This window comes from Homo sapiens, chromosome 3, assembly GCF_000001405.40.
Source record: "Homo sapiens chromosome 3, GRCh38.p14 Primary Assembly".
Taxonomy (NCBI): Eukaryota; Metazoa; Chordata; class Mammalia; order Primates; family Hominidae; genus Homo; species Homo sapiens.
In genome coordinates this window covers 38,466,286-38,482,189 of record NC_000003.12, presented here as the reverse complement: position 1 = coordinate 38,482,189, position 15,904 = coordinate 38,466,286, and the positions used below count along the sequence as shown (strand labels likewise).

The following is a 15,904-nucleotide window of genomic DNA, read 5'->3' as shown; positions in this document are numbered from 1 at the left end:
GGACAGAGGAGGGCAGGATTTACAGTGACTGGCCATACACACACAGCTGGGACATGGGAGTTACAGCCTCTGTGCACCAGATGGCGGGCAAGACAGAGCAATTCAGACAGGTTATCAATGATAGCAAACCTCGATTCACCACATTCACAACAGTTACAAGAGGTCACAGCATCAATTATACTTGGCTAATAATTTTTAAATACTATATCCTGGAGATAATAGTAATCTAAAATGGAATTGTTACCAAATTAATACAAGGAACTACAGATGATATGTATCTGACTGAGATTAAGACCAAAAACAAAGAGGGAAGGAGAACACTTAAAAAATAATAACAGTGATTGTTTTAGGAATGATTTCCTAAGTTTAATTTTTAGTTACTTTTTCCAGGTTCTTTGTTTGGATCCTTAGTACATTTCTTTGTTTTGTCTTAGGAATTAAAACTAAAAAAGTGAGAGAAAGACTAAGATTGCAAGGACTAGTGGTCAAAACCCCAGTGGGGAATCTCTACATTTCCCAGCTGACTGTCCTACGGAAGCTAAACTACACTGCCTTCCTGGTCTTGGTTTCTCCACTGGTCAAACAAGAGCATTGCTCTAAGTTCTCAGACAGCTCTGAACGCATGCAGTCACCCTCATCCCTGCACCTCCCCAGCTGAGCACAAAAAGGGCAAAGTATCTACCCTGGGTCTGTCCCTCTCTTCCTGCCCTGTGAGGCCTGTTACCTGTCCGTGGGTGTCCCCTGGAGGTTTCCCTGGCTCAAATCGAACAGCCAAGCCAAAGTCAGCCAGCACGGCTGTGAGGTCGCTCTTCAGCAATACATTCTTACTTTTAAAGTCCCTGTGGAAACAAGTGGGCAGAGATAAAGCTTAACATCATGATCCAACTCCCACCTTGGTTCCCAAGATACTAGAGTCTGTGCCCTAGAGTCAGGCCCCAGACCAGGCCATCCCACCCTACCTGGGGTGCAGAGGTGAAGCAGCACAAGCAGGCAGCTGCAGGCGCCGACATGGGTGTGAGAATCCCTCAGTGCACTTCAGATGGAAGGCTTCCCCCAGGGTTGGCAAAGCAACACCTACCCTAATGGCTGGGCAGACCCTGTCCCAGTCCCCACACTATCAAAGGCCAGCCCATATATTCTCAGAGGGGTTGTGGACAGGCACACTGGCCTGGGATGCAAGTTTTCTGAGAAGAATTTACAGCATTTGGAATGTGAATGAGAATAGGAATTTAATATTAGCTTTCCTAGGATCCTGCAGAGACCCCTTAGGGTCTCAAGCTCACCATGAAGGCCGGCTGGAGCAAGGGTGCTATTGCATGCACCCAGCTCCACCTCTAACTAAGCAAAGCTACTTGTGGTACTCAGTTTCCCCAGTGCCTGTCTCAGCCTTGTGAGGATTCGACTGAGTGGTAAGTGCAAATGTTTAGGGCCACACCTGGCATACTTACTAGGTATTCCTATTAAGTTGAGCCATATAGCAGAGACAACATTCAACCTTTTGACCTATAAAAACGGCAATTTCATACAGTCTACCTTCTATGTCATTACTGTTATTACCATCAGGGACCCTTCAGCTTTGAACGCTGGAATTTGAGGTTCATTCCCCTCCCTCACAGTCACAGAACCAGACTCAACTAGCTACAAGACCTTGGCTAAGTCATTCAACTTCTCTGTACTACTGTTCCTCCATCTGCAAGACAGAGCTGAGAAATACAGTACTTGTCTCAATGGGCGGTAATGAAGGTCAAATGAATTGATACTTCTCAAGTGTTTAGAGCACTGCCTGCCATTTAGTAAGCATGACAGTGATGAGCTCATCCAGAGTTTCTTAAAGGGTGGTTCGAGGACCCCAGAAGATCTCTAAGACTGTTCCAAGGGAATCTATAAAGTCAAAATTATTTTCATTTATTTGCTTTTATAAGGCTCATTCTCTTAGGAGCATAGAGTTTTCCCGAGGCTACATGAGATGTGATGTCCTCACTCTGACAGCGAATGGGATGTGTGGGTGTGCTCAAATACAGCAAATATCAATAGTCATAATCCACTTACACAAAAGTCATTTTAAGAGTATAAAGGGATCCTAAACTAGAAAATTTGAGAACTACTGAGCCAACTCTCCAACCAAAGTAATGGAGTCAGCACTTCATGTGGCCATTAGAGGGCACCAAAAACCAGCTTGGGAGGCCATGCCATCCCCAGGACACAGTGGGAAGGCCAGGTTTTGTGCCCAGCTGCCTCGGACACACAGCAAGCAGGGTAAGTATGTTTAGGAAGTTGAGACATCTCCAGACACTGCTCTCGCCCACCAACCCTTCCCACAGCTCCAGGTCAAGTGCAGGAAAGGCACCTGCTGACCCAGGTACCTGTGGGCAATAGACGGCTTGTGGCCCTCGCCACGGCACCAGGGCACATCCTCATGCAGGTATGAGAGGCCTCGTGACATCGTCTCTGCTACATGACACAGTTCGTTCCATGTGATGATGTTCCCCTTGAGGTAATCCGTGAGGGAGCCCTGAGAGAAGACAGCACAGAACTTGAGCACAGATTCTGGGTACAGGACAGGACCCAGCCCAGCCCTGGCAGAGAAGTCTCAGTGGGCCAATGGCTAGGCTGCTCTCCTGGAAGGCTACTACAATCGATATGGAAGATGGATGAGGCCAGGAGGCAGGGAGGGCTAGGGGTGGGAATCATGGAGTCACTACTCTTATCATAAAAACTTATCCCAGGGTGAGAGGTTCCTATCATAGGGGAACCAATGTCCACACCTATGGCAGGAGTAACCCCATAGTGGATAGTGCTACCGGGGCAGAGTACTTCATGGTGGACACCTCCACAGGGAAGGGGTCATCATATTATGGAGAGCCACCAAGGGGACATTCCATCTCCTCTCAGAGTCCATTCTGATGGGTGTGGCTCACCTTGTCATGGAAGGCCGTGATGAGCCACAGCTCTACTTCGAGGTTGGAGCCTCGCTTCTCGGCAGCAATGAACTGTAGCAGGTTCTCGTGCTTCATGCCAGGTGTGCTGAAGATCTCCCGTTCACTCTGCCACGACTGCTTGTCCTGAGGCCGGGGGCGAGGGGTTGGGGGGACAAGTGGCTGGCTTAGCCCTGCTGCAGTCACATTGCCCTACAGCAGAACAACCATTCCCCATTCCCCACCCTCAAGCCTCCCAGCCCAATCCCCACCCCCCAGCCTCCCAGCTTCAGCATTTGTAAGGGGACCAGGAGAAGACCTGTATTAAGCTAGGCCCCAGAGCATGAGGCCAACAGTGATCCCTGAGATCACTTAAGGCTAGCACTTCGATTTACAAATGGGGCCACTAAGGTCCATGCATGGGGTGTGAGTGACCCCGTATCACCCAACAAATGAGGCAGAGCCAGACCTGGTGTCCAGGGCCGCTGGAAAGAACCCAATGTCAAAAACAAAACCCTGGTAACCGGGGCAAATCAAGGTTTTGCAAAGCCCTACCCTAGTCCTATGATAAAATTCCATAGTTGCATGAAATCTACAGACCAGCCAAGTGTAACATGAGTAACTAGGCCCAGTAAGGCTCACTTTTCTCTCATACCACAATATTATTTGGGGTTTGGATTGCCCCAGGTCAGGAGAGCCTCCAGTTCAAGCTACAGTGGAGGCAGAGGACCTGGATGGAGCCCCTCAAACACTCACCTGGAGTGGGAAGATCTTGACAGCTACAAAGTCATTCATGAGCTGGGCCTTCCAGACACAGCCAAAGCGCCCCCGAGCCTTGATCTCCAGCAGCTGCAGTGGCTTCAGGCCCACCAGAGGGGATGGTGGTGGAGGCCCAGGGTCCTGGGGGAGAGCAAGGCTTAAAAAGGTCTGGCCTGTCCTCCCCACCTCTATCCTGCCCTGCCCCAAGCCAGCACTGTCTCACCTCATGGATGTCCACATGACCGTAGGGGGGCTTGCGATGCCGGTACATCCAAAAGGCCAGCAGGACGATGAGGGAAAGGCCCCCGATGGGCAGCAGTGAGTAGGCCAGCACCGTGAGCAGGGTGGGGGCTGTCGGGGGTGGCTCGTACGTGACTGGGGGACACACAGAGCCCTGTGTCAAACAGTCTGCCCACCCTCACACTTCCAGAGCCAGACTACAGGGCCCTGTAGCCACACCCCACCCAACTGAGGAGCCAAGCGCTCCAAGCCAAAGAAGCCCAGGTCGGCTGACTCAAGGCCCCACTTCCACACTGCCCCCTTACCTTCCGGGCCCCCAGCCTCTGGCAAATGAGTGAAGCGTTCGTTGCAGAAGTTGCCTTCACAGCAGCAGAAGTACACCTGGGGGTTCTCCTCAGTGGCCACACACTCCTGCCTGGAGGCACAGAATTTTCCATATACCCCTCACCTGGGGGATGCAAGACTCCCCCAGGCCTGCCCTGCCAACCCCTCCTCACAGACAGAGCACCTCATGGGCAACACCAGGGGGACGGTGTGAACTCACCTCCCCTACAGGAGACCCAAAGCCAAGGAAGAACAGCCAGGGGTTGACACTGAGACCCCTCCTCAGGGCTAAGGTAGGACAAATAGGGTGTGGAAGGGCGTGGGGCCATGGCTACCATCTCAAGAGCCCCTTCTTGGTCCTTTATCTCCCACTCAGACATCCTGAGACCCAAATGGCCCAGTGGGCAGTATAAGCGCAGGTGGGTCCAAGAGGAAAGGAGGGCAAGTCTTGGGGTACCTATCGTAGCAGTTGAAGTCATCTAGCCAGCAGCCCTTCTTCACGAGCTCGATGGTGCCAGAGCTGTTGCGCCAGGAGGCGTAGCAGTGCAGCCGCTTGTCCTGCTCGCCTTCGCAGCGCTCCAGGCCGCTCTGGTTGGTGCGCTCCAGCTCCCAGTTGGCGTTGTAGTAGATGCACTCCCGTGTCTCAGCCTCCCCACGCCCAGAGCCTGTGCCCCAGAGAAAAGAGAACCACTGAGCATGCCCCTGGGACCACCACCCAAACCCCTACTCCCAGTCCTGGGTGCCAGGCCACCCTGAGGGAGGGAGGCCGGGTGGTGGGTTGGGGTCACCAACCTCCTGCACTCACCCCTGGACGTAGGCCACCCATCCGTCCCACACCTCTTAATTTACGTGTGCCAGCTGGCACCAGCCCCCACCTCATTCTGCAGCCCATCACAGCTGCCCCTAGGCCTAAGCAAAAGGGAGGAGGCAGGAAACCTAATGCCACAGAAGGATGGATAAACAGCCAGACAGACAGAGTCCAGATGCACAGAAAGGGCACCAACACCTGAGGCTCCTGCGTGGGGGTGGGGGCTACTTCCCTGCTGCAGCAGAAACCGATGAAGAGGCCCCCTTAAAACCCCAGTGCACATCGGAATCACTGTATGTTGCAGGTGTGGGAAAGGGGAGCAGTGTTCATTCAAATACGTATTTCCAGGCCCAATCCAGACCCATCCCAATGGGAATGGGGGCAGAATATGTGCTTTTAATCACCCCTGTCTGTCTCAGGTGATTGTGATAAAGATCTCAAGGACCACCTGGGAAAACTACAAAGGGGAGTGGCTTCCTGCTGCTCCTGTCTCTGCCCCCAAGCCCCCTTCTCACAACAGTTCCCCAGGGAGACCATGCCAGTGGGTCCTCCACAACTCCCTGCCCATACGGAATGGAAAGGACCCTGTAAGTGTCCTTTCTACACCCAGCAACCACACCTGGTGCTCGGCAGGGCTGGAGAACTTAAGGAATGAGGCCTGCGTGTACAGGGTAAGCCTCCCAGAGTCACCAAGGGGAATACATGCCTCAGGCAGAGGAGAGCTAGCTGGTGGCTTAACCTGCAATCACAGATCATTCTCCTGGCTAGGCTCCTGATGACCCCAGGGCACTCCCCATCACTTCTGAACCCCCTTCCACCTGCTGCAGGAAGTGCCATCCAGGTGGACAACGACTTCAACCCCCACCTGCCCATTCAAACACTTTCCTTCAAACTTGATTTCAAACATTCCCCAAATCCATCTTCCTCACCATCCCCTACAAAACAACCTCCAGTCCCAGCCCCAGTCTACTCCCACTACCCGCAGGAACCACATAGCCCTGACATAGGAAAGAGTATGGAGATGCCAAAGGAGGTTCGGTTCTGTCTGAGAGCTCTGCCAGCACCCCATTATAGGCCGCCCACAATGGAGGCAGGTGGTGGCATTTACAACCTCACTGCCAGAACCCCACACAGACACCCGAGAGGATAGTTGCACCAAGCATCCAGCCATCCTATCCACACTTTTTGGGCCCACATAGGCCAGTGACCTGGCACCACTCCTGGCTGGTCTTCTCCTACCACTATTCCCATCCCAGGAAGGAGGGAGGGGTCAGAGTCAATCCCACCAGACAGCCAGCCCACCAGCAGCCAAGAGCCCTACTTCGCCATCAGCCTGAAAGGCTGACTGGAGTAGGAAAGAACACGAACCCTGCCCTGACCCTGGGGGAGGGCAAAGTACCCTGAACACTAGCGTAGCCTAAGGACATCCTCACGCTCATCTCCACCCCTACTGTTGGCCTTCATGAGGAAAGAGCTTGATTTCCCAGGGTATACCCCAGAGAGAAGGATACTGACTGGCTGTCAGGTGAAAGAAGCCCCCCACCACTGGAGCGGCCATTCTCCTGTCAAACCCAACCCCTTTCTGCAACTCCCTGAAGTGACAGGATGCTTCTTCCAGGGGCAGGAGCAAGCAACGAATCTCAAGGATCCAGGTAGCACCTAAGGGTCCGAAATGTCACCCAATCAGAATGGCAGTGCCCAGCCACAGCTCTGGTCATCCTGCACCAGGTGGCCTAGGCTCTGACACCTGTGAAAGGAAAATGCATGGCCTCCTGACCAGTCAGTCAGCTGGGACTCAGCCTCTTCTAAAGGAAGGGCCTCAGGGTCCACAGAGAGGCTTACAAGGGTACACACTGGCTTCCCCAGCCAGGCCCTTCATCAAGCATGTGGCTTTAAGGTTTAGAGGGAGAACCTGAGAGGGTGGGGTGGGGGTAGTAGACCAAAGGCTGAACAAGCACACCGGGGCCAGGACTGAGGCTTGCACCTACATTGTCCCTGTCTGCCTGCAGCAGCACCCAATTACTGGGTTATTCGAAGCACCCTGCCCAGAGGCCACAGGGCCTCCTCTCCCCAGGCTGGGCCCCACTGCATCCACGGCAGCAGTTCTAGTGGGGGTCCGTGGAGACCTGAGACTTGTGGGGCCAGCCATGAAGCTGCACTGCAGACAGGGAAGCTGGGCACTCCCCTACCTTCCTCCCCTCACTGCAGCCACACCATAATGTCACACCCTTGAATGTGTTTGGCTTCTAGGCTTAGCGTAAGTCGGAAGTTACCACCTCTGGCCGTAAGGTTACCCACCTTCCTCTGATTTCGGCTCTTCCCTCTCCCCTGAGACCAGGCAAACTCTCTATTTCCACTGGCCCTTGTGCTTCCCCTGCCACCTAACTTAACCACCCTTGACTAATGGCCTGTTGTTGCTTAAAGGATTATTTCAGACATCCAAAAAGTGTACCAATAATATAACCAAAAATAATCTCAAGAGGAAATAACACAATGAACACTTGTATGAGAAATAAAACATTACACATGTACTCGACAACTACTTTCTAAATGTCAGGCTTTCCCCACAAGACTGGAAAGCCGACAAAGGCAGGACCCTTGCCGTCCTAAGTGGCAGAATCATTCCAAACACATCATAGATGGATGGGTGGACAGACAGAAGGACAGAAGGGTATAGGTATCATGGCTAGAGCAACATGTCGAAAGGAGGGGACAACAAGGATGGCCTCAGCCTGCAGCCCAAGCCCTAGGTCCTCAAAGAGTTTCCATCTCCATTCAGACAAGCAACAAGCCTCTGTGCTGAGGCAGGAGCCCAAACAAGGGAGGCCAACAGAGTAACCTCCTCTCTCCAGGCCACTGATAAGTCAGGGACCACCCACTTGCCACTACCATGGGCAGTACCCAAGTGAAGAGGCTGGGAGTTCCAAATCTCAGAGGACCCAAGGGTTCAAGATGTCAGCTGGGCCAGGCACGGTGGCTCACGCCTGTAATGCCAGCACTTTGGGAGGCTGAGACGGGCAGATCACCTGAGGTCAGGAGTTCGAGACCAGCCTGGCCAATGTGGTGAAACCTGGTCTCTACTAAAAATACAAAAATGAGCCAGGCATGGCGGCGGACACCTGTAATCCCAGCTACTCAGGAGGCTGAGGCAGGAGAATCACTTGAACCCAGGAGGCGGAGGTTGCAGTGAGCTGAGGTCGTGCCATTGCACTCCAGCCTGGGCAACAAGAGCAAGACTCCATTTCAAAAAGATGTCACCTGACCCCCATCTGACCAGATCCTCCTACAGGCAACCCAGCGAAAAATGGCAGCCGTGAGCGGGCCAGACTTCAAGTCCTACTCCAATACTTCACAGCTAGGGTAGTTGTAGGAACTAATTGAGTTAATGCACTTTAAGAGTGGTTAGAACACTGCCTGGCACATTGGCTATATTACAGCCACAACCATCCCCTACTGCCTATGACAATCCCTCATAACACAAGTCCCCTGTATGACTCCCAGCCCATCAAGTCACACCATGCCTACAAGAGCTTTATGTTCAGAGCCCATGCCCCTCCCTCACCACAGGGCTCTGCTGCCACCTGGAGACCCAGGGGCCTCCCCCATTCCTCTCTCTTCCCCAGACTCTCCTTCTTCACACACTCAGCTATTTATAGCCTCTGGCAATACTCCAACCACAGGCCACCTCTGCCTTTTAATAGATACAGATTCCCACCCACACCCAGGAAGCCAGGGCATCCATGCACAGGAGGCTCCCCTTGACCCCCAGCCCACTCGCCTAACCTGGCAGGAGGAGAAGCCATGCTCCCAAGATGCGGGTGCTTATGGTACCCCCTTAGGCCTGCTGCTTCATAGCCCTGAGGTAAGTGAGCATGGCCCCCAGACACCAGGACAAGGGGCTTGCTGCATCCCTGAGTCACAGCCAAACCAACTGCTGGCCTCCAAAGGAAGCTGAAATAAAAGTGGCAGTGTCCCCAAGGGGCAGTCCCTATGCTCCAAGGGGCCTAATGCCAGTAGAGAGAAAGTACCCAGTGCTCCCCAAACCATCCCTCCTGGCAGGACCACTCCCACATACACCACCCCCGACCCTCACACAAACACACAGTACATGCACATACACACACACAGTACATGCAGACTGCACTCTGAACCAACATTCCTGGTAGCAGAACCTAAGCCGGCTAGTTTGGATGCTCGAAGACACGCACTGGGAGGTCAAATACTGGGAGGTTCGTTTCTCCTATGAAGCAGCTCAGTCCAGTAGGCCTTGGACATACCCACTATGCCCTGAGGAGAAAAGGGAGAAACCTCACCAAGGTCCCATCTGTGAGGGGCTCAAAGTGCAATGGGGAGAGAAAGAAGAGGAGATGGTTCAGAGGTGGAGTGTCCATGCCCACCTCCCCTGGAGTCCCTGAGCTCTGCACTTGGGTGTCCCCAGTCCAGCCAGTGTCTCCTAGAGGAACTGTGACCCCAGCAGCCAGCAGAACCACTGCTCAGTTGGCTCCTGGAGGCCCCTTGGCAGCCACCTACCCCAGGGAGCAGGTGCCCAGCCCCACCCTTGTGGGCACTGTAGTGGTGAGAAGGAGTGCCACTCACCAGGTGAGAAGGAGTGCCACTCACCACTACATCTATCTAGGTCTGCTTCTGCCAGCACACTGAGGCACACCCTGCCAGAAGCCTCCATGCCCAAGAGGAAGACAAGCAAGAACATCTCAGGAGGGCCAGTGTTCTCCCTCTGGTGTCCAGCCTTCACATCTGCCCAGAGAGGAAAGGCAGCTCTCCCCACAGACAGCACCCCTCGAAAGGCAGCCCTGAGTCTGCTCAGCTGCCTTTATAGCCCTAGCAGGTCCCTCCATAAGAGCGAAGGAGGGCCAAGAGCAGTGACTTATCCATGTTATGATTCCACAGCCCCCAGCTCCACAAAGCAGCATCTCCACCACCTCCCCAGCAGCAGAGTAAGGGCAGCTGGGGTGTAGAGATGGAGGGAACCTGAAGAGACAGATGGGGCCAGGAAGGAAGGCTGGAGTGTATAACAGATAAAGACACTGACACATGCACACACGTGTATGCACACTGTGGAGCGGCATGTACAATAGGGGAGAAAAAAACCCAAAATATTCCAACATTGTGTCTTTGCATTTCTTTTACCCAAGAGAATAACTCTTGACTATTTCTAGCAACCAAATACAATCTCTAATACATATGCTTTTTGTCCTTCATCCATATATTTGTAAGCCATCCAGGTTGATATGCATTAATTTAACACTTATACAGCTCACACTACATCCCAGGTCCTATTCTAAGCATTCTGCAAAGAGTAACTTATTTAATCCTCACGATAAACCTGTGCAGGTCCTCATTTTATAAAAACTGAGGCACAAAGAGATTAAGTAACCTACCCAAGTTACTTATTAAGTGTCAAAATCAGGCTTCAAACCCCAGGCAGCCTGTCTCTAGAGTGCATGTTCTTTATATACTGCTGCCTCTCCTGCAGCCCTGAAGTGCATTTATTTCAGAAGCTTATAACCTCACATAACTTTAAGTATCCACTCACCTACTGGACTCAGGTTATTTATGTTTGTTGATCTCAGCAATGCCATCATGACTTCTTTTTTACATTTGTGTGTGTGCGTGTGTGTGTGCACTCATGTGTGGGCGTTTCTTGGCTAGGTCATAGAGTCTAAAGATCAACTGACTAAATACTGTTAAACTGTTCTCCAAAGTGGATGTGCCAATCCAAGTTCCCAACAGATGACAGCCCCCACCTGGGGTTCACCTGGTGAGTGTGAAATGGTACACAATTTGGATCTGCATTTCCCTGATTACTTGTGAGACTGATCATCTTCTTGTGATTACTAACATTTCCTTCTGAGAACTGTTTGTTTGTATCTTTTCTCATTTTTCTACTGGATTACTTTTCCTTTGAGTTACAGAAATTATTTTATATATTCTTGGTAATAAAATTTTTCTTACTATATAGTAACCCTCTTCATTTGTAATGAATGCTCTTTGCCAAAAAGTCCATTTTATCTGATGTTAACATAGCTATATGACATTTCGTGTGTTAGTATTAGAGAAAATTACCTTTTCTAACTTAAACAAAAAATCTTTCTCTCTTCCCTCCCCCCAATTCAATCTAACACCATCTTTTAATTAGAGTTCGGTCTCATTACATTTATGATTTCTGGGTATGTTTATATATATGATTACTGGGTATGTTTAAATTTGTTTCTTTTCTACCGTTACCTCTATTTGGATTATCTTTTAAAATTTCCTATTTTAGCCACTTTTAAAGTTATACATCTCATTCCTATTCCGTTGTAAGCTAGGCCTATAAACTTTAATGGGTACACTTATACTAAAAGCCTAAATCAACATCTCTACCATCCCTCATTGGAACTTAAATATTTTAAACTCTAATGACTCTTCCAATGTACATCTAATTTAACATATTGCTTGTGTTCCGTATTTAGTGTCACTGTTCTTACTACCCAGCTCCCAAATCAGACATTATTTGTGTCTATATTTTGTAAGCATCCATACAGTCATCTCTCCCTGCATCTCTGCCTTTCTTTCTGAGATCACTGTCCTTACTGAAAAAAAATATTTCAGTAGAGATCTCTTGGCAGAGGAGCCTTTGTTGCTTTTCTCAAAATGTTTTGTCTTTCTTCCTGAATGGCAATTTAGATGAACATAAAATTTTAGATTGTTATTTTACCTCAGCTCTCTGAAAATATTATTCCACTATTTTCTAGCTTCCACTACTGTTGCTGAAAAGTCTGCTATTAATTTAACTTTGCAGATATTCTGTTTTTTTCTTTCTGGCTGCTTTCTCTCTTGGCAGTTTCACTACAAGGTATGTGTCTAAGTATATATTTAAATTTATACTATTTGGGGTTCACTATGCCTTTAGTCTAATGATTTGTGTTTTTTGTCAATTCTGACAAATTCTTGGCTATTATCAACTTGAATATTGCATCTCCAAATTCTATGATTCTGAAATTCCTATTATAAGCATATTAGACCTTCTTATTCTGCCCAGTCTCTTAACCCTCCTTTCCTAATTTCCAATTCTGTGTCTAAACACCATTACAGGTAATTCCTGAAGATCAACTTCCAATTCACGAATTCTCTCTTTAGCTATGTCTAATCTGTTGTTTAGTTCTTCTACTCAATTTATAAATTCAATTATTCTATTTTTTCATTTCTAGAAGTTCTATTAAAAAAAAACTTCCTGGTCAATTTTGATACTTCTGTACTTTGGCCTACTTCCAAATCTCTCTTAGAATTCTGTAATTTAACTTCTTGAAAGTCTGCTTCTGACATTTGTTATTTCTGACTTTATTCATGGTACTGTTTCCTCATGTGGTTTTAGAATTTTGAATACTGAGCTTATGTTCAGTGGGGCCTTTTCTGTTGGACTACTTTGAGGCCAAGTTTGAAGGGGCAACCTTTCAAAGGTAACTTATATTTCTGCCTTCTGCCAATCTCCCTAGGACATTAACTATTTGGAACCACTTTAATTTCTCAACTTAGTTTACCAGAGAACAGGATGGTATAAATGCCAAGCTCACATGAGCATAGGCCTATGGTTATAAATTCTCGGGGAAACTACCCCAACCCCAACCCTACCCAGTCTCAGACAATTTCATTATTTAGTCTCTTTGTCAACAAAGACATGTTTCTTCTGGCCCACATTTTTACTGAAGGTATAACACAACAGAAGTCTGAAGCCATGCAAAGGCCTCAGTCTCAATTCCACATCTTCTCTCCTATTGTCCACACTGCTACTTAAACCCACATCTCTAAATTATAAAGACAGGCAAAGTCCCCAAGGAATCAGCAGTTTCAGTCAGTGAAGGCATACAGCTCTAGTTTCCAGCTCCTTCTTGTTTTTCCCTTACTTCTTATACATGCAGCAATGTATATGCATTTTAAAAGGGTGTTTATTATACTTTTTCCAGCATTTCTATGTATTTTGCATGAGGATTTTCCACTGTTTTGTTCACTACAAATGCCAGAAATGTAAATACAGGAGCACCTTCCAAGGTGACAGGAGGAGCTCCATCTGCCTTCAGAAGTCCCGCCTAGAAACAAGGAACCAAGCCAGGTGACCTCAAGTCACTTCCAACTTGGACTTTGTAAACAAGGCCCTGGCACCATCCTCCCACAGCTCTGAAATACATGCCTTTTTCCAGGCCCCATCATTCCTGGAAAACACTGGAAGGAGAGCTTCCAGGTAAAGGTCAAGGATTATACACAAACATTTCCTTTTTGCTCCCTCTTGTAGTCCCACTAAAACTGCAATAAAGTAGTTTAATGCATAAACCTGTAAGAACAAAGAGAACAGGAGAGAACTACAGAAATGACATTTCAAGGCTGGAAAGCACTTACACACATGGTAACTGATCACACAGACTCCTAAGTTGGCTCTGGATAAAGTAGAAAAGCAATGTGACTTCCCCCACAGAACCCTTCAAAACTCAGGAATTTGTGGCACCAGATGTCTTTGAAAGAATGGGGTAAAAATGAGTCTAAAGACAGAAGAGTTGGTTAGTAAGGTACAGTCAGATCCTCAGATCCCACCACCACTCATCATGGTTGCCCCTCTCCAACCCAGCGGAGATTATGTTTATTTTCTAAAGAAAATGAACAGAGAGCCTCTTCGACAAAGAGGAGCAGGCAAATCTGAGGACACAGGTATCACACTGAAACAGGAGGAATACAGAACAATATACCAAATACAGGAACCCCTAGTTCTCAACCCCCTTGACTTCCAGGATGTTGATATCCAAGCCTGCCCCCTCCAGAGAGAAAACAGAAGATATTTCTCAGGGGAATCCAACTAATTCCCAAAACAGCCCAATCAGATCACCCTAGATTAAGCCAACTCCACCCATGGCCTCAGAGCTTTTAGTAAGTATTCAGGTCCATCCTTACTTATTTATTAAGAATTCTTACATCAGGCCCGCATGGTGGCTCATGCCCATAATCCCAGCACTTTGGGAGGCTGACACGGGCAGACTGCTTGAACTCAGGAGTTCGAGACAAGCCTGGGCAACATGGTGAGACCCCATCTCTTCCAAAAATACAAAAAATTAGCCAGTTGTGGTGGTTTGCACCTGTGGTCCTAGCTACTTCAAAGGCTGAGGTGGGAAGATCACTTAAGCCTAGAGGGGCAGTGGTTGCAGTGAGCTGAGATTGCACCGCTGCACTCCACCCTGGGTGACAGAGCAAGACCCTGTCTTAAAAATAATAATAATTTTAACATCATATATTTATTAGAAATATTAGCTATATTTATCTCATTTGGTCTATGTTCCCTTGTCTCTCATTGCTTTCTTCTCAACTGAAGAATTCTCTATTATTCCATGTCTCCTTTTTTTTTTTTGGACACAGGGTCTTGCTCTGTGACCTAGGCTGGAGTACAGTGACTCAATCACAGCTCACTGCAGCCTCAAACTCCTGAGCTCAAACAATCCTCCCACTTCAGCCTCCCAAGTAGCTCGGACTTACAGGTGCAATGCCACCACACTCGGCTAATTTTTTTTTTTTTGTAGAGATGGGGTCTCACTACGTTGCCTAAGATGGTCTCAAACTCTGGGCTCCAGTGATCCTCCCCACTTGAACCACCAAAGTGCTGGGATTACAGGCATGAGCCACTGCACTCAACCCATTTGTCTGCCTTTTTTTTTTTTTTGAGACAGAGTTTCGCTCTTGTTGCCCAGGCGGGAGTGCAATGGGGCAATCTCAGCTCACCGAAACTTCCGCCTCCCATGTTCGAGTGATTCTCCTGCCTCAGCCTCCCTCCTGGGATTACAGGCATGCGCCACCATGCCTAGCTAATTTTGTATTTTTAGGAGAGATGGGGTTTCTCCATGTTGGTCAGGCTGGTCTTGAACAACCCACCTCAGGTTATCCGCCCACCTCAGCCTCCCGAAGTGTTTGGATTACAGGCGTGAGCCACCGCACCCAGCCCATTTGTCTCTTTTTTAGCTTGAAAATTATAATCTATCCTTTGGTTACCCTAGAGATGATAGCATGCCTTATCAAAATTTAGTATTATTTGGTAGTTCCACTCTCTTCCTGGACATTGTAAGAATCTTTAGAACAATTTAAATTGATTTTCACTCCACTCTCACAGATAGCATTGTTGCCAAGCATTTTCTTTTGTGGTATTTCAAACTCAGTAACACATTCTCACAATAAATGCCCGAATATTTATTATTTTCATTGCTCTTCATTCCTCTCTTCATCTCTGACATTCCATCTGGATTTATTTTCCTTCTGCCTGAAGAACACATTCCTTGACATGTTCATTCTTTTTTAAGAAGTTTTGTAGGCCGGGCGTGGTGGCTCATGCCTATAATCCCAGCACTTTGGGAGGCTGAGGGAGGTGGATCACGAGGTCAGGAGTTCAAGACCAGCCTGACCAACATGGTGAAACTCTGTCTCTACTAAAAAATACAAAAATTAGCCAGGCTTGGTGGCGTGTGCCTGTAGTCCCAGCTACTCAGGAGGCTGAGGCAGGACAATCACTTGAACCCGGGAGGCGGAGGTTGCAGTGAGCCAAGATGGCCCCACTGCACTCCAGCCTGGGTGATAGAGCAAGACTCCATCTCAAAAAAAAAAAAAAGAAGTTTTGGTTTAAAAATTGACACGTAATAACTGTACATATTTATGGGGTAGAATACGTTTTGATACATATATACACTGCGTAATGATCAAATCAGGGTAATTAACAAATCCATTACCATTTATCATTTCTTTGTGGTAGGAACATTCAAAATCCTCTCTTCTGGCTATTTTGAAATATACCATACATTCTTGCTAACTACAAGCACCCTACGGTGCAACA

General features: G+C 48.5%; 1 protein-coding gene across 5 annotated transcripts in view, besides 1 other annotated feature; it reads right to left on the bottom strand.

Moving 5' to 3' along the window:
• Positions 1-15,904, bottom strand: part of ACVR2B (activin A receptor type 2B) — a 39,253-nt gene that overhangs the window by 10,953 nt on the left and 12,396 nt on the right. For 4 of the 5 annotated variants that reach the window (NM_001106.4, XM_017007515.3, XM_005265583.4 and 1 more), the window contains exons 2-8: positions 4,696-4,903; positions 4,220-4,329; positions 3,898-4,049; positions 3,672-3,815; positions 2,919-3,062; positions 2,364-2,512; positions 725-839 (exon numbers count right to left, since the gene is read on the bottom strand). In NM_001106.4, coding sequence (NP_001097.2) covers positions 725-839; positions 2,364-2,512; positions 2,919-3,062; positions 3,672-3,815; positions 3,898-4,049; positions 4,220-4,329; positions 4,696-4,903 — 1,022 coding nt within the window. Of the gene's footprint in view, positions 1-724; positions 840-2,363; positions 2,513-2,918; positions 3,063-3,671; positions 3,816-3,897; positions 4,050-4,219; positions 4,330-4,695; positions 4,904-10,600; positions 14,089-15,904 lie in introns of those variants that run through there. The other variant, XM_017007516.2, reaches the window with a different exon arrangement.
• Positions 5,139-5,638: an enhancer, noted in NCBI's record as "H3K27ac hESC enhancer chr3:38518043-38518542 (GRCh37/hg19 assembly coordinates)". NCBI's record gives its function as "activates a minimal SCP1, AML or CMV promoter by ChIP-STARR-seq in primed H9 embryonic stem cells {active_cell/tissue: H9 hESC(primed)}" and the evidence as "EXISTENCE:reporter gene assay evidence [ECO:0000049][PMID:30033119]".